The sequence below is a fragment of the Homo sapiens genome, chromosome 13, assembly GCF_000001405.40.
Source record: "Homo sapiens chromosome 13, GRCh38.p14 Primary Assembly".
Taxonomy (NCBI): domain Eukaryota; kingdom Metazoa; phylum Chordata; class Mammalia; order Primates; family Hominidae; genus Homo; species Homo sapiens.
The window spans coordinates 24,144,796-24,163,137 of record NC_000013.11 but is presented as its reverse complement, the minus strand read 5'-3'; the positions used below and the strand labels follow the sequence as shown (position 1 = coordinate 24,163,137).

The window sequence follows — 18,342 nt, the reverse complement described above, 5'->3', positions numbered from 1 at the left end:
GGCATGAGCCACTGTGCCCAGCCAGGTCATTTTTATGCCACTTTCTTCAGGGCTTCCTGTGGCTAAGAGGGAAAGTAGACTGATAGCATGGATGAGGTGACAGCCCAGGCACTGGCCCCAGGCTTTCTGAGGGACAGCCGGCATTAGGTTTTTCTCCATGCACTGTCCTACAGGTATAGAATTCATGTCCTCCACTGGTGTACATTGCAGACTAAATAAAACATGTCATATAACAACCTCCTTTCCAAAGCTAAACTCCAGGCATGCCTGAGTTCAAGAGGTCACCCAGCAGGGAAGCTCCACTGTCTGGTGAGAAGAGGGCCTCCACTGCTAGGCAGTGGCAAGAAGCCATGCCGGTTACCTCCTCTGAGCCTTCCTTTTCTCATCTGTCAAATGGGGACAGTAGTAGATCCTACATTATAGGGATGTGTGGAGGATTTTAAATGAGTACTGATGCACGTTAAGCCCTCAGAACAGTGCTTGGCACACACCCAGAGTTTGGTAGATGCTACCTAACATCAATATTGACATTAATTCTAGAACTATGTAGAGGATACGACTTCAATAAGAAAACAATCAGTCAGAAGCAGTGGCAGAAGGGAGGGTCCTGAAATCCAGAGTCCTCCTGCAGAGATGCAGCTGCCACTCCTCGCCTCTGACACTTGCAGACATTCGGAGAGAAAGCCGTCTGCAAGGTGACAGAGGGCGGACTGGAAGAACACAAGGAACCCAGGGATGCTGATGGAGCATGGAAAACCGCAGCAGAAGGCACTGAGGCAAGGTGTGCCCTCCAGGCGGGGCAGGCTGTGGCTGGGCAGAGCGCCTGCCAGGGAGAAGTAGGGCAAAGGGAAGAAAGCACCTGTGGGAGAAACATGGGGAAACAAGGAAGAAACCTGCATATGCACGGGAGCACAAATAAGGAAGGAGATGGGAGAACTGGGTGGAGGCAGATGGCAAACGTGGGGGCCAAGGGAGGTAGATGAGAATTAGGATATGGGATAATAAGACAAAGCCACATGAAACTCTAAAGTGCGGGAGGAGGGCAGAGAACAGGGAGGGTGCATGACAGGCACCCCGAGAATAATGCAGTGAGGAAGTTTGCAAGACGGGGGAGGGGGACATTAGGAAAAAAGGAGAATTTGTTGGGAAAGGTGGAAAAAGAAAAGGAGTGAGATTTCTCCGCCTGTTAGCAAGGGGAATAAAGGAGAGCAAATCGCTGGGTGACCAGGAAAGGTTCACAGAGAAGAAAACACGAGGCAGCAAAAACCGAAGGTGGGGACAGAGAAAATGCTGGCAGGGGGAGGTGCATAATATAAGGCTATGGGAAGCCATGGGAACAAGAGCTGAATAAATTCACAGTATTATTCTATTTATCCACATCCCTATGCAATGCTGGGAAGCAAATGACCCACAGGGTTTTGTTTGCTTGCTTTGGTTTGGTTTTCCTGCACTTGGAGGGAGGGGAAATTTGCTCAAGCTCTGTAACCTTGCAGTCAGATGGGTGGCCCAGCCCAAGTCACCCGAGCTCCCCCTGACGCTGGCAGCAGCGCGGGCTTCTACCTGCCTGGGGCTGGAGTACCAATTCCCCCACCTCCTGCACAGAATGGGACCAAACCAACTCCGCCAATGCATTCCCTGCAGTCCACAGACGATGGGCACCGGGTCCCAAAATCTTTCCCCTGGGACGAGACTCCGCTGGTACCAAGAGAAACTTGCTTTCTAAACTAAGCTCTCCAACCGCATCGCTCCGGGTCCCCGGAGGCACCAGCCACGCCACCCGATGGAGCAGAGCGTTACAGGGCTCCGCCGCGCCAGGCTCCCCAGACTCTGCCACCCCCACGGCCGCCCCTGTAGGCCAGGCCCCGCGAGCTGGGAGCGCGGGTGAAGTTACAAGGCGACCTCCCTGCAGGCTTCCGGCTGGAAACGGCCTTTTGCGAGAACACCACGTGCATGTCCTCCCAAAAGCGATGGTGCCGGGTGGCCCAGAGGGCGCAGAGCCACCGCCGGGCAGGGAGCGGGCGCACGGACCTAACAGGTGAGCACCCGGTAGCCTCCACCGGCGGGGGAAGCAGAGGCCAAGCAGCTGGGAGCTGGACATCCCGAAGCCCCGAGGCAGTCCACTGGGACTCAAATCCTCCCGATATTCTACCTAACAGCCCATGCCCGCGCCCGCCCGGCAGAGCCGCGCGCCCGAAGCCGTCTTACCTCCTGCGGCGCCTCTTGGCGGAGCCTACAAAGTCAGCGTGTCCAACACGTCCCTGCCCTCAGAGCCACCTCCGGTGCCGGCGGAGCCCCGAGGTCGCCGCACTCTCGGAGGAGCCTGGGATCCAGTGCGCGCCCTCGGAGCTAGCGACCGGCAGGGCGATCGCGGGAGAAAGCGCAACGCACACTCTCCTCCCGCGCCGCGGCAGCACACTCAGCCAAGCCACGCCCCAGCCCCGCTCCCCACCAGGCCACGCCCCCAGCCCGGCTCTTCCCCCCGCCCCATATCAGGCCACGCCCCCGGTTAGCTCACTCCCTCAGGCCACACCCTCGGCCACGCCCCCACACTACCAACCACAGCCGGGGACCCCACCCATCAAAAACAGTTCCCCGGCCAGGCGCAGTGGCTCTTGCCTGTAATCCTAGCACTTTTGGAGGCCGAGGTGGGCGGATCACCTGAGGTCAGGAATTTGAGAGCAGCTTGGCCAACATGGTGAAACCCCGTCTCTAATAAAAATAAAAATTAACCGGGCGTGGTGACAGGCGCCTGTGATCCCAGCTACTCAGGAGGCTAAGGCAGGAGAATCACTTGAACCCGAGAGGCGGAGGTTGCAGTGTGCCGAGATCGCGCCACTGCACTCCAACCTGGAGGACACAGCCAGACTCCGTTTTTTAAAAAAAGAAACAAACAAAAATAGTTCCCTCAGCCACCAGCCAGCCCCCACCCCCCAGGGCGGGAAGAGGAGTCTCATCTCCGGGGCAACCGTGCCCCACTGCCCACTGCCTGGGCCAGAAGTTCACTCCCTGTGAAAGGAAAACGCAGGGTAGGGATTTTTAAACCTACATGTTTCCCAGGGCCTGGGGCAAGTCTTGAGTAGACTGTTGCAGTAAACCGACTCAAAGGCCTATCACCTTTCTTGTGAGGCTCAAGGCCTAATCATTAATTGACATGAAAACCACAGAAGAGAAGCAAACCCTTCTGTGCTGGGATCTGTGCCCCAGTGCTCCATGTTCCCTGATAGGCAGCTAATGGAATTCATAAAATAAATGCATGCTTTCTACCAGTGTAGTTTTTTAGATGATTCATTTAGTGGCCAGCACTATTATTTATAAATGTCTATTGTCTTTTATAATCAAAGAACAATACCCACAATCTGTAAAATAAAAAACAAAAATTATATTACCCAATGAAAAGTGAAAATTAATTTTATGTATGTTTTTTAAAATATTGAAAAAACTCTGTATGACATTATAATGGTGGCTTCATGTCATTATGCATTTCTCAAAACTCACAGAATGAACAGCATGCGGCGTGAGCCTCCTGTAAGTAATGGACTTAGTTCATCTTAATGTAACAACATGGGCCCATCAATCATAACACATGTGCCACTCGAATGTAAGATGTCAGTACAAGCAGCTGTGTGTGGAGGGAGGGGCGTGAGGGAGTACATCAGAACTCCGTGTACTTTCCATTCCTGTTTTCTAAACCTAAAACTGCTCTAAAAATAGTCTATTAATTAAAGCACACTCCAAGATTAATGATAATTATCTGTGGGTGGTGGAAATATGGGCAAATTTTATTTAATTCTTTGAATTGTTATTGAAATTACCCCAAGTTTTAACAATGACCATGTATTTTTAAAGCTGAAAAAATATAAAAACCAAACCTTGGAAAATTTTAGAAACATAGTATGTGAGGCTAATATCATTGACTGTTCCATTTTATTTCTACTCTATAAAAAATCTGCACAAAGCACTCACAAATGCTAAAATGAAATCTATGTTAGTATTATTTAAAAAAAAATATCACGGTCTAAATTGAGGGTTTTTTTATTATCTCTTTAGAATTAGCACAAATCTGAGGAGCAGATTTTGATTTTTCTTTTAAAAAAATTGTGTTTCAAAAGGTTATTTCTGCCTACTTGGAAACCACTATTAACATTTACATGCAATACTTTTTATAGTGAAGAAAGCACTATATTTGAAACTATGTCCTTGGGAAACAGGCCTGGCCCTCAGATGAATGGATTTCTGTGGAGTGATACCAACTAGACCTGAAGACCCCCGCATCCTTGAGGCCCTGTACAAGCCCTGGGCGAGTGCTGGACCTTGCTGAATCTCAGCTTCCTCGTCAGTGAGCCGGTGACAGTGGGACCTCACTCTGCATTGGGTGGAGAATTAAAACTTTAGCCCATGTAAGACTCTTACTATCTATCAACTTAGCACATACAGGTGCTTGCTGATTGTTTGTTTGTGAGTTTTAAAAAATATTTTTTTCAGGGTTTCAGTGAAAACCTTTTGAGCGCCTGGGATAAAAGATATGTCTGGGTTCAGATTACAAATCTATTAGAGGAAGGCAGGATGGCTCAAGAGAAAATTCACTGATCTGACATGAAGAGGCGGCGCAGTCCAACCTGGCTCTAACCAGCTGTGTTCATCACGGGAGTACATCACCAGCCGACGCTTATTCTTGCTTTTCCATTCTGTTAAGTCAGAGATTAGGACGAGCAATAGCTAAATTTCCTTCCATTTCTACCATTCCTGCGGGAATCACAATGTGGCCTCTGTGTAAAAGCCTAGGTCTCCCGCAGTGGCTTTCTGTCAACATGGCTCTCTATCCACATGGCCGCCATCACTCACAGCCTCGCAGACAAGGCCGGCATCTGCATTCTGTTGTTTCCTGCAAGTGGGAACCTCCAAAGGTCGGTGACCTCTTTTCTTCTCTGCTGATCTTTTGGTACTCAAGACTCTAACTGGAGCCTGAATATTCAAAACTTTCACCCAAGTTCGTCCTAACAACACTGATGCTTTCTGCAGGAGAGTGTCTAAGGATAGAAACTACCACCTCTCACTAAGTCTAACGCGCTTTTTTTGTTGTTGTTCCACATAACATCTCCAAAACTAGAATGTGTCTTTCCCTTAATATTTGTTGGACACTTATGCCACGTTGTTTACATTCATCATTTTCTTAAATCCTCAAGACAATCCTTGAGGTACAGTTATCCTTCTCATTTTATATATGGGGCAAATGAAGTTAGAAGGGTTGAACGAATCATCTGAGGTCACACAGCTGGTGAGCAGTGGAGCCAGGATTTGATCTCATGCTCCTGTTTGAAAATGCTCTGAACAAAGCAGTGCTGTGAGCTCCCCCAGGGTTGGGGAGAAGCAATGCTGTATTCCATCTGCTGAAAGTTCCATTCAGCAGGGGTTTCTCAAGAGGTACAGGGCAGAAAGGAAACTCCTTTCTCCTCATTTCAGTTTTTTTTCTTTGAGGAGCTCCTATAAAGTAACCCGTATGGCTTCCGCCCCACCCTCTACTGCAGAAAAAGGAGTTACCAGCCGGGCACGTGGCTCACGCCTGTAATCCCAGCACTTTGGGAGGCCAAGACGGGCAGATCACGAGGTCAGGAGATCGAGACCATCCTGGCTAACACGGTGAAACCCCGTCTCTACTAAAAATACAAAAAAAATTAGCCGGGCGTGGTGGCGGGCGCCTGTAGTCCCAGCTACTCCGGAGGCTAAGGCAGAAGAATGGCGTGAACCCGGGAGGCGGAGCTTGCAGTGAGCCGCGATCGCGCCCCTGCACTCCAGCCTGGGTGACAGAGCGAGACTCCATCTCAAAAAAATATATTAAAAAGAAAAAAAAGAAAAAGGAGTTACCTGACTGGTTGGAGAAATCCATTGGTAGACTCCCTTGATAGAATAACCTGATTTATTAATTTATTAACAGCACAGAGTATTCACTCTTTTTTAACCTTTCCGCCCAGACTACGGCTGGGAGAAATCTGCGGTCAGTGTCTGGATGCCACAGACCAGACTTTCACCTGGAGGAAGTAACTTAAGGTCTAGACCGGGTTAGGGAAGCAGAGGCAAAGGAGCTGGGAGGTCACTCAGAGATCATTAGCAACAATTGTGCACTCATTCTCCAGATGATTTTGTCAGTAATATCACTGACATTTTTATCTTCATCTAGCAGCCTCCAGCATCTTGTTGGTTGTGAAGGTGGCAGGGGACAAAAGGGGGTTGGTTGAACCACAGATGCCTCTGGCACATAAGGCAAGACCCAAGAGAGCAGGAGAGAACCTGAGCCTCTTCTGCTCTCTGTCCATGTGGGTTCTAGGAAAACTTCATAACCTCACTTTGACCGGCTCCTTATCTGTGATATCTTATGGTGAAAATTAAGTGTAATAATGTATGTAAAGTCCCAGCTCACTGCCTGGCACGTGGTCAAATGCTCAATAACTGGTGGCTATCATTGATTAGAATGGATAAGGTGCGTTTGCTATATTTTATTCTACAGTTTACTAGAGCAGATCTCTCTCTAATTTGAAGCTTCCTAGGATGACAGAATAATGTTTGGCATTTATCACATTATCTTAGCACATAAGTATCTATTTGGCTATTGGGGTGCTGGGAAACCCAATTAATTGAGGCACAGAGAGGAAAGCATTTTGCCTCCAGGAATGGGTCATCAAGGCCAAAGGACTAGAGTACAGATGGGGTGGGCCAGGAGCCAGATCCAGTGTGCCATCTACGGTGCCTCCCTGTCTGCTCGGAGACAGGGCCCCCATCACACCTGGGTTTGGAGGGGGGAATACGAATGGGCAGGGCAGCTACAGGCAAAAGAGGAGAATAAACGGTCTCACGCTGTCCTCACAGTTGCTGTGGACAACAGGTATGGCAATTCCTCAAAAATCAAAAAACTAGAATTACCGTATCATCCAGCAATCCCTCTTCTGGGATATACCCAAAAGAACTGAAAGCAGGGACTCGAACAGATATTTGTACACCCACTTTCATAGCAGCAGTATTCACACAGCCACAAGGTGACAGCAACCCAAGTATTCATCAATGGATGGATGAATAAACAAGATGTAGTAAATACATACAATGGAATATCACTCAGCCTTAAAGAGGAACAAAATTCCGACACACGCTGCAACACAGGTGGACCCTGAGGACATTACATTAAATGCATAAGCCCATCACAAAAGGACAGATACTGTAGGATTTCACTTATATGAGGTATCTGGAGTAGGCAAATTCACAGACAGAAAGTAGAATGGTGATTGCCAGAGGCTGCAGTGGGAAAGTGGGGAGTTACTGCTTAATGGGGACAGAATGTCAGTTTTGCAAGATGAGAAATGTTCTGTGGATGGATGATGGTGACGGTTGCATAACAATATGAATGTACTTAATGTACTGAATTGCACACTTAAAATTGTTAAAATGGTAAGTCTTATGTGTATTTTACCACAGTTTTTAAAAATGTCCCATTTTCTAATCTGCAGGCCAGAATCTGCAGAAAGCCATTGGGATTTTGCAGTAAAGAGCTGTCTCTGCCACTCACTGACTCTGGCTTGGTTCTGAAAGCCCTGTAAGCTTCCACTCCATCCCACTGCCCATCAGTCCCACTTTAAATAATGAATCTAGGCACCGAGAGTGTGTGTGGACTAGCACTGATGCAGACCACTTTACCAGAGCCATCCTTCACAAGCAGTATTCTCTTTGATTTAATTGAGTAACTCCTGAAAAACCTGTCTTCTTTATTAAATTTTCATGATTGATAGCTTCATCTGTCAATTTTTGGTTTATCACTTGGACTCCATCATTACACAGTAGGCCCTAAAGTTCTTCCGTGACAGATCTCTGTCACTGGGGATGGAGCACCACAGAGGCACATAGACCTTTCATAGAATCCCCCTTTCATCTTTCACTAGCTGGGTGCTTTGGGCAAACTGCTTGGAACCTTAGTTTCTTCATCTGTAATATAGAAATAATAATAACCAACCGGGCAAGGTGGCTCACGCCTGTAATCCCAGCACTTTGGGAGGCTGAGGCAGGTGGATCAGGAGTTTGAGCCCAGCCTAGCCAACATGGTGAAACCCTGGCTCTAGTAAAAACACAAAAACCAGCTGGGCATGGTGGCACACACCTGTAATCCCAGCTACAAGGGAGGCTGAGGCATGAGAATCACTTGAACCTGGGAGTTGGAGTTTGCACTGAGCCAAGATCATGCTATTGCACTCCAGCCTGGGCAACAAGAGCAAAACTCCGTCTCAAAACAAACAAACAAAACTGGTCTATCAGTCACACAGCTCCAAAGAAGTGAATTCTGTCGACACTAAGAATGAGCTTGGGAGCAAATTCTCCCCCAGTCAAGCTTCTCTATGAGAACACAGCCCAGCCCAACTGTGGCAGCAGCCTCATGAGGCCCTGAGCTGAGGAGCCAGCTAAGCTGTGCCCAGACTCCTCACCCCTGGAAACTCGCTTAAAAGTGTGAAAATAAATGTGCATAGTTTTTAACACACTGTGGTGCTTTGTTCCACATCATAGAAAACTAATACAACATGAAAATACTGAAAATTTCTAGCGCCTCAAAAGACTCCCTTATGTGCCCCTCCCCCCCGTTAGCAATGCCCAGTACCCCAAAGGTAAACATTAATGTTTATTGCCATAAATTACTTCTGTTTTTGAACTTCATATAAATGGAGTCATGCAGGATGTATACTTTTGTGTCTGACTTCCTTAACAGTATGTCTGAGATTCATCCATGTTGCTCTGTGTAACACTTGTTCATTTTTTTCATTGCTGTGTAGTATTCTGCTGTTTGAATATACTATGTCCTATTCTATTGTTGATGGACAATTAGATTGTTTTACTTTTGGTTACTATGTGGCCAGGACATGAACATGCTTTTAGTGGAAAAAAAATCACACTCTTGTTGGGTATTTACCCAGGAGTGGTACTGCCAGACTATCAGGTGTGCATATGTTTACCTTCTGTAGCTACGGCCAAGCTTTTTTTTTCAAAATGCTTGTATCAGTTTACACTCCCACAAGTGGTAGAAGAGAGTTCTACATGGTCCCCCACCTTCACTAAAACTTGGTATTGTCTTAGCCTCAGTTTTCTAATCATAAAAATAGGGATAACAATAGTTCCCACCGCTCAGAGTTGATGTGAACATTAGGTGAGAACATACATAAATGTCCTCATAAGATAACACTTGTTTGATAAAGGGTGGATATTTATTTCCACTAAGCAGCTCAGTCACATTGTTAGAAGTGGCTGGGCTAGGATTCCAACCCCAAGGGATGAATTCCAAACTCCACTCTCTCACTATACCTCACCAGCCCACTTCCCAGTAATTTTTAGTGGTCATCAATCTCCATGGATATTTCAAAATGACCTCCTCTTTTAGACTCTGTTCTCCTGTGTAGATCCACATAAAGTATGTGCTCTTCATACATATGGCTTCAGAGATAAATGGAATTGCAATTGACATGGGTAGGGGATCTGTGATTATTTTACCCTAGACCTACAGTTTTCCTTGCAGCGTACCGTGGATCATTCTCTCTACCACGTGTCCTCTGTTGAAAGTGGCCTTGGCTGCCTTCACTGATTTTGTCATCTGAAGGGTGTACTTTACACATGCTGAGTCCTAAATTGTCAATGTCTTCACTTCTCTGTCATGTACTAGCAGAACCCTAGCTCTATTATTTATTCCTTGTCTACCTGACAAGAACAAGTTCCTTTTTAGGCAATGAAATGGAGTGTGAGAAGAGTGTGCTGGTGGCAGTGAGGAGGAAGTGCACAGAGTGAAGGCCAGCCACGTGGGCCACACAGCCCAAAGACAGGACTGCAGGTGGAAAATGGGGCACCCACATCAGAGGTGCCAGGACCACCAGGGCCTATTGGAAACCCTAAACATACATGAGACAGACCAGCATGACAGCTCCTTTGCCAGGCAGCTAATGTGTCTGTATGTGGACGTAATGTTTATGATGGGGAGATGCAGATGATAAAATCAGAGTAAAGAGACACCATCCACAGAGGATGCCCAAGTCCCAACTCAGAGGTCCTAAGTAGACATGAGCACAGACGTAACATAGACATTTTTCTCACACACACGCACAACACTGCTTTTGTTTTGCATGTTGACCTTTGTCACATTCAGCTACGCTGTGTATTGGGTGTACTTAAAGGTTACACGGAGGTGAAAGTCTCAATGTAAAATGTAAAAGTGAGAAAGAAAAGAAATAATCATCATTTGAGTTCTGAACATTTGAGGGAGGAGAGGAAGAGAAAGAGAGAGAGAGAGAAAGCTGCTTCAAGACCTGTCAATTCCTCCATGATAAGGACTTGGAGTGGCTCTGCATTTTGTCTCTGGCGCCTTGCTCAGAGTGACCATCCAACACAAGCCTGATGAATGAGCAGCTCATATTTGAAGAACGGGTGATGGTGAGTGACAGAGAGAGACATCTTCCACAGCAGGACTTTGAAAAGGCCATGGGCATCATTTTGCTGTGATTGAAAGCACTGGTCACACAGACGGGGATGTGGGAGCTGTGGGGCTGGAATGCTTTCATGATTTTATTCCCTCACTGGCATAGAACACCCGCTGTGCAAGACCTCACTGGGGAGGACCTCCCTGGTGGAGCTTATCAAAGAGGCGGAAGAGGAGGTCGTTACACACAATGTGACAGGATGGGTGTCAGACAGAGCTGTGAAGTAGGCACAGAGGAAAGTGGCCATGTCCTTGAGCAGGAACCACTGAGTCCCATGGCACCTGGCCTGTGCCTTGTTTGGGGCTGTGCCTTGTGCTAGAGTCAGAAAGCTTGTGTCCACCCTCATGAATGGGAGGAGTGCCCTTATAAAAGGGGCAGAGGGAGTCCCCGTGCCCCTCCCACAAAGTGAGGGCACATACAAGGCATTATCCATGCAAAAGGGTCTTCACCAGACACTGAATCTACAGGTGCCTTGATCTTGGACTTCCCAGCCTCTAAAACTGTGGGAAAATAAATATCTGCTGTCCATAAATTACTGAGTCTAAGGTATTTTGTTACAGCAGCCTGAACAGACTAAGACTGTTCAGTGTGTTCACGTATCACACTCTGCCTGTGTCTGCTGCTCCTGGAAGGCCCTGCCACCTTTAGAAAACCAGGCATTCCCTGAGAACTGAACCACATCTTCACAGCTTTATGCCTTTCTCTCCCTTTGCAGCCCTCATCCTGGGCAATATCAATTCACTAGTGTTAGCTAAATTAATCAAGCATCTATACTGCTTAGTACTGTTAAAGACTATGCAGCTGGTAAAAATGGTAAAGTCTATTAAATACCTAGTATGTGCCAGGTTCTGTTCTAAGCATTTTACATGTTTTACTCATTTAATCCTCACAATAACCCTAAATGGTAGGAACTGCTAATATTACCATTTTACAGATAAGGAAGCTGAGCCCTCTCTGGTAGGTTGGTGATGTACCCACAGCTGGTGTTTGAACTTGGACAGTTGAGTTCCAGACCCAACACTCTTAAAAAAAAGGAAAAAAAACTCCAGTAATGGACATCTATTCATAATTTGAAATGTTTATTACAAAACCCTGACAGAGACAGGACTTTCATGTATATAACTGGGTATTTTCATTCTCTGTCAAATAAGTTGGTTGTAAATGATGAAACATTCAATATTACAGCCATTATTATTGTCTAGTGCATGGTTACTAACAGCCAGGCACTGTGTTGCATATTTCACTTCATCATTAAAACCAGGGAGAGTTTATCATTATTTTCATTTTACAAATGGGGAAACTGAGCCAGGAGTTAAACAAATGGTTCCGGGTCCTCAGCCCCATGTGTTTGACAGAGCAAGGATTCAGACCAAGATCTGCCTGTCTTTCAAAGTCCTGATGTAACCTGAATGCTGAAGGACGCATGCCCACAATCACAGCACAGATAGCTCAGCACTGCGGGAGGAAGCATCTGGGTCTGAGGGCCATCTCCTGGATTCTGTCTCCAGAACTGTGTGATTTGGGGCAAGCCTCTTAATCTGTGTGAATCTCAATGTTATCATCTGTAAAATTATGAGGATTATGAATCTTCGCAGGATTCCTGTAGGAATGGATTAAAATATGCAAAGACCCCAGACAGGGACTTGTCAACTCTTTAGTGGGGGTTTTGTAATGCCTAACTTTATGCATCAATTTGGCTGGGCCATGGCGCCCAGTCAAACAGCATCTAGACAGCAAACACATCTAAACAGCAGTCTCCGTGTGGCTGTGAAGGTATTTTTAGGTGATACTAACAGCTAAGTCACTAGACTTGAGTAAAGGAGAGAGTCCTCTGCCATGTGGGTGGGCCTTGTCCAATCAGGGGACAGTCATAGGAGAGAAGATGTGGGTTCCCTGAGGAAGAAGGACTTCGGCCTCAAGACTGCAACACAAAAGCCTGCCTGAATCCCCAGCCTGCTGTGGCCTGCCTTGCCCTGTGGATTCTGGACCCAAGACTTCAACATCAACTTTTACCTGAGTCTCCAGCCTACTGGCCTACTTACAAATTTTGGACTTGCCAGCCCTCAAATTTGTGTGCAATTCCTTAAAAAAAAAAATCAATCAATATTTATCTCTCTATACTTCCTATAGGTTTTATTTCTCTGGAGAACACTGACTAATTCAGGATGGATGGGAAGTTAGAAACAGCCTTAAAAAGGAGGTCCTGCCTGAACCAGGTCTCCCCAGAGGGCACCCATGCCAGTCGGTGACATCTCATAGGATTGGAACTCCCAGTGCTGAGATGCACTGCCATGCCACTGAGGCTGCAGGCTGCTCTCTAGGGGACTGGCAGGAGCTGTGCAGCAGTGATGCCACTTGAGAGCACTGAGGACATGCGGTGGGTGCACTGGTGCTGGGCAGGGAGAAACCCAGGGTGTTTGGAGAAGTGGAGGCTGTGGGAGGAGAGCACGGGAGACGGGCACTGTAGAGCCAATGTGTCTCAGGACAGAGGGTCTGGCCCACCATGTTCTAATGTGACTGTCCCCCATCAGTCCACCTAAGAATCTCAGCATTGCCCAGCTCCGTCTCCTCCAGGCTGCACACCTGGCCACCAGTCAGGCAGATACCAGCTTTCTGTGGGACAGTCCCCCGACTCTCCCATGCCCCACACTCTCCCTTCCCTCCCCACAGCCACCCTGTGGCACAGCAGCTCTCTCCCTCCCCGACAGCCCCTGGATGCAGGCCTTCCCATCTCTGTGTTCCTCCCCAACCACCTCCTGCTGCCCAAGAGCTCTTTCTGAAACACCCCCAACTCCTGTCAGGCCTCAGCACCCACACAACCGAGTTCAAGTTTCTTTGCATGTCATGCAAGGCCTGTGACAACCTGACCCGCAGCTCTCCAGCTCTATCCGCCCCGCAGGGCCTTTGTACAAGCCGCTCTCCCTCTGGGTTCTTCCCCACATGGGTGGGAGCTTTCCCGCCCCCATCAGCCATTTCCAGTGATTCAAATCCAAGCTTTTAGCTCCAAATTCAGGACGCTGCACTACACCACAGTGACAGAAGATCTAGGAGTGTTAGGTGGCCTCAGGGCATCTCTGATTCCTGAAAAAGTGGCAGCAGAACTCCTCTAATGAACACTAGAGTCAACCAGGGATTGTCTCTTCAGAGTCCACCCTTGGCCAGATTTGGACACAAAATTCTCACCAACAGAAAGGGAAGGTCCAGGAACAGAAGACAGGCAAAATGCCAGGGTGTTTTTCAAACTTCCGACCACAGCCCACAGTGAGATGCGTATTTCACCCCCACGATCTCACATATGAGAACATAAAGAGAATGACAAACGATGCCAACCTTTACTTCATGGGGTGTGTTCGGTGTTCTCTCTTCTCTCTTGGGTTGTTGTATTTAATTCTGGTGGAAATTTGCTAAATTCATTTCAGGACTCACTAATGAGATAAAGCCCATCACTGGAACACACTGCAGTGATCAGCAATGTGGAAAACGACCCAGTGTGATGGCAACAGGCAGGGGGCAGACAGGACGCCTCTTTCATCTGCCCCATGGCTTCTTCCTGCCCCCCTTTTGCCCACTACCTCCTTAGTCACAAATAAGTTTACCGTGACATTCAAATCCTCATTCTCCTTTGTTTGTGGACGGAGCCTACATTCCTCCAAGCCCAGTCACCAACCCTGAGTCACAGAGCCCTGCTCTCATGTGGCATGCATAGGAGAGCATTTCCTGGTATAAACAAACACTCATGGAAACCATGAATAATAAACAAGCCGCTCTACCAGAATGAACAGCAGCTCCTGTGTCCTTACTTCCCTTGTTCTACCCCTCCCTGCCTTCCTCAAGCTTTCCAGATCTCTCTGGACACACACTCATTGCTAGGACAGAATGCTCCTGTTTAGGTGTTTTACTTGTCTGATGTGTTTGGTCCATTAAGCCTTGTGTACAATGCCAACAGTTGTAGGCATAAGAAAAAGACTGAGCCAGTTCCTTGCAGAGATTCTCAACTCTTCAACCAAGTTCTCCCTCTGACTAAAAGCCTCTGGTCAACCATATTAAACTCCTAACGTATCACACTGGTTATGTGTACACCAAGGGCTTGTGTTTGATGCTTCAGGTCAGAAACTCCTGCAGGTACCCTGGGAGGCAGTGTTAAGGAGCAGAAAACTGAGATGGTTTCATTTTTCTGAGGTAATTAGGTAATACAGCACAGGGTTATACCCCAGCCTATTTATTCCAACCCTATGGCCATTTCTGCTCTGATGGGATGTATGCATTTCAGGAAAAAAAAATAAAAAAACAAAAAAGCCTTGTGTTCTGTGAAATTGTGCACAAAAGACAACGGGGCTCATGAAAGTAGGACTGAGACCCCTTGAACCCTGAGGACTTCATCACCAGAGCCCTAACAATAGTAACGATCGTAATCAAAAGACATAGGCAGTTGAAAAGGCACATTAGATTCCTAGCAAGGAACTACAACTGCAAATGCTGTGCAGGAATGTCTTTTAAAAATATGGGAAATGATATGATTCAACAATTTTACCCCTGGGTGTATGCGGAAAAGAACTGAAAGCAGGATCTTTAACAGATATTTGTACGCAACATAGTCATGGCAGCATTATTCACAAAAGCCAAAAGACAGAAACAACCCAGGTGTCCAGTGGTGGATGAATGGATTAAAAAAATGTGGTGTATACATACAATAGAATATTAGCCTTAAAAGGAAGGAGATTCAGACACATGCTACAACATGGATGAACCTTGAGGACCTTACGCTAAATGAAATGAACCAATCACAAAAAGACCAATCCCGTACGATTCCACTGATATGAGGTATCTAGAGCGGTCAAGCTCAGAAAAGGAAAGTAGAATGGTGTCTGCCAGGGGCTAGGGGTGTGGAGGGAACGGGGAGTTAATGTTTAATGGGTACAGGGTTTCAGTTTCAGCTCTGGAGATGGATGGTGGTGTTGGTTGCACAGCAATATAAATGTACTTAATAGACTTAAACATGGTTAAGATGGTACGTTTTGTTCTGTATATTTACTACAAGTTTTTTTAAAAGGTGTGGGTGGCTTCCTGGAAGGGGCTTAACAGCTTGAGAGTTGACCCTGCTGAGATATGAAGACAAGGGCAAAATGCTCCCAGATTGAGAGCACCGAGCAATCACCACTTCCAACGGAGAAGGGAGCACACAGAAGAGAGTGGATAGACAAGCTTGGCCAGCATTAACGTGTAGGGCAGAAATTGCTATGAATCAGCACAACTTTCACATGATGGTGACACTCTGCCCCTATTTACCAGTCACCTACAAGCTAAATTACAGAAACTCACATTTAGCAAAGCAGACTACACTCACTGTCATGGCCCAGTTACTCAATACGGTCATCATTCTATCTCCTTTCCACCTTCTCTGCATCCTGTTCTGCCTAAAGTACGAGACATGCATCACACATACCACCAGGCCAATTAATCAGAGTAGTCTTCTTGAAACAATTTTAATTATAAGTGGAAAAAGCATTCCATTCTTGATGGTAAGAAAAAAATTATCTGAACAATCAGATATCATCTTCCATCCAATGCATGCTTGGAGTTATGGGCAGCGGAAAATAATAAACTCATCCAGAGGCCTATTGGGCAATGAATTTATTGACATATTTCAAGACTCGCCAAGATGTTTTCTTCTCTTTATTTCTAAGTGAAAGGCATAGTTTTTCTAGGAAAAAAAAATCATGCCTGAATGAGATTTTTTAAAAGACTGGAGCTTGTAAAATGTTCAAAATTGGTGGGGGAGGGGTGGGGCGGGGACGGATGCGGTGGTAAAGAAATCTCAGTCCATCTGGGAGATAGGATATTCCGTAGTGTGTAGAGGGCATTTGAGACTGCAGGAAGCATAGCCGACCACGATGGAAAATGCTTTAGACACAAAGGTATATACTAATTAAATGTATAACATAATCATGGCATTCACATATCTCTAACCTGTGACAAGTAAGAGAAGTATTGGCATTTTTTTTAAATTGCTGTGCATTTCCATTTCCTTAGTGCCCTGTAAAAGAACATTTTAGAGGTTATTTATAGCCTACTTTCCTCTGTGTTAATTATCATACAGGTTTATGTATTATTTCTTATCTATGTAGATAAGATTATAGAGTACTTAGTTATGTATCGCCCTAGCAATTTTAGTTACCAATTCCTATCTTTAAATGAAAGCCAACGAATTTCTTGCAGGCCTGCCTGCATGGAAGCAGCTAACGATCACAAGGGTACTCGGTGATCTGGCCTGGCCGCAGGGAGAGGAGTTGAAATTGGAGGACTAACTGTATCTGGCTTACAGAGTCTGACCTCCCTTTCACAATGGGAACAGCCTTGTCAGTGAAGCTGGAGTGCCCCGATTTAATTGGCTTCAGTCCCTGAAGCTGATCTATGAATTAGGCTGGCTTTGCCAATGGGATCAAGATACTCAAAGTCTGTTGACTGAGACTCCCTCTATCCTAAATAGAAAGTGGATAGGTGCTGCCTAAAATACCATTTCTCCTGTGTATCATCCTCCCCTCCTGCTTAATCAGCAAAGATTCCCAAATCCAAATTCTTCCTGGCTGCCAAAGCTCTCCAGAGAGGGACCTTGTGCTACCTGTTCAGTCCAAGTGTCTGCCACTCCTCACCACATTCAGCTGCAGACAGATTGGCCCCCGCAGTCTATGCCTGTTGACTTGGTCGGGAGTGCTCGTCCCCCTTCTTTCTCACATATGGAATAGGCTCCTTCCCTCCATCAGCATAGAGCTCTCTCTCCTCCAAGCCCCAGCTGTGCTCTGTCTCCGCCGTGAAGTCTTGGCCAATGCTGTCCACAAGGATGTTTTTCCTGTCTTAGTCTCCTTCACGCCCTCCTAGCAGCATCACCAATTTGAAAATTAGCCGTTCTCTATTTATTGATCATGCACAATTCTCTCCACCTGAGCTATGTTTCCACTGCCTCAGCCTCACCTCAGTTACTAATACCTTCATTCCCCAAACTGTAAGTTGAGAATTGCAGGAAGAGTTCCCCAGTCCCTGCTTTGTTCTAATCTAGCTACACAAATGCTGTTATTCAGGCACCAATGCCACCCCTCTGACTCTTCTTACTGAGGCCTGGAGTACTTTCATTACATCTGTTACCAGCTCACTCGGTTTATGTCCTCTGTGGACTCACATGAACTGAGAACAATCAGAGGAACGTGCTGGTAGGGATGCTACAGACAGCTTCCTTTCCCCTGCAGGGACATACTTTAAACCTTGTTCAAAGCCCCTGAAAAGTCCTGTTTGGCTGGAATCCTCTGACTCTTTCACAATGCCACCACTGTTAGTAACAGCCCTAATTAATACCTTCAATAGAAAAATGAAGTTAGACCTTTGCCTCTGTCTACTTAGTATTTTGTGGCTGTTGTAAAAAATCAGATTCTTTCAGGGCAGTAGGATTTACACATTTTAATCAAGTGCCTTTCACACTGTCTCTTTCTGACACCCCCAGCATCTAAATTACAAAGTGATGTCAGTATTGCCAGGAAGTTGAAAAGAAGGTGGCTACGACAGTCTCCTTTGACTTGCCCACTTCAGAAATAGTGTACCAGCTCATTCTAACTATATTCACAATGTCCCTTTCCTCTACCTGCCTCCCACCTTATCACTACCCAAGGGACCTCTGTGTCCTCACCCTCCATTTGATCATAGGTCTAATGAAATATTCATCCAAATTTGGAAGTAATGAAGGATTTATTGGAAAGTGGGCAGCATCTTAGGCCAAGGGGAAAGCTTTGAGCAGAAACTGGAAGACAAAGGCAAGGAGGTGGATGGCCAGGAGGGTGCAAGGATTTGCTCAGCATACCGTACT

At 46.5% G+C, this 18,342-nt stretch overlaps 1 protein-coding gene and 1 non-coding gene across 4 annotated transcripts in view, besides 2 other annotated features; both read right to left on the bottom strand.

Moving 5' to 3' along the window:
• The window catches only part of SPATA13 (spermatogenesis associated 13), a 327,268-nt gene that overhangs the window by 143,932 nt on the left and 164,994 nt on the right, over positions 1-18,342 (bottom strand). For 2 of the 3 annotated variants that reach the window (NM_001166271.3, NM_153023.4), the window contains exon 1: positions 2,206-2,418. The exons of the other annotated variant lie outside the window; for it this stretch is intronic. The gene's annotated coding sequence lies outside the window, so the exon portion shown is untranslated. Of the gene's footprint in view, positions 1-2,205; positions 2,419-18,342 lie in introns of those variants that run through there. 3 annotated transcript variants of the gene reach the window in all.
• MIR2276 (microRNA 2276) lies at positions 634-722 on the bottom strand. The gene has a single exon (NR_031753.1). It is a non-coding gene; the product is annotated as a microRNA 2276 (primary transcript).
• Positions 2,468-2,527: a silencer, noted in NCBI's record as "silent region_5176". NCBI's record gives its function as "represses an Ori minimal core promoter by ATAC-STARR-seq in GM12878 lymphoblastoid cells {active_cell/tissue: GM12878}" and the evidence as "EXISTENCE:reporter gene assay evidence [ECO:0000049][PMID:35858748]".
• Positions 13,015-13,691: an enhancer, noted in NCBI's record as "H3K27ac-H3K4me1 hESC enhancer chr13:24723586-24724262 (GRCh37/hg19 assembly coordinates)". NCBI's record gives its function as "activates a minimal SCP1, AML or CMV promoter by ChIP-STARR-seq in naive H9 embryonic stem cells {active_cell/tissue: H9 hESC(naive)}" and the evidence as "EXISTENCE:reporter gene assay evidence [ECO:0000049][PMID:30033119]".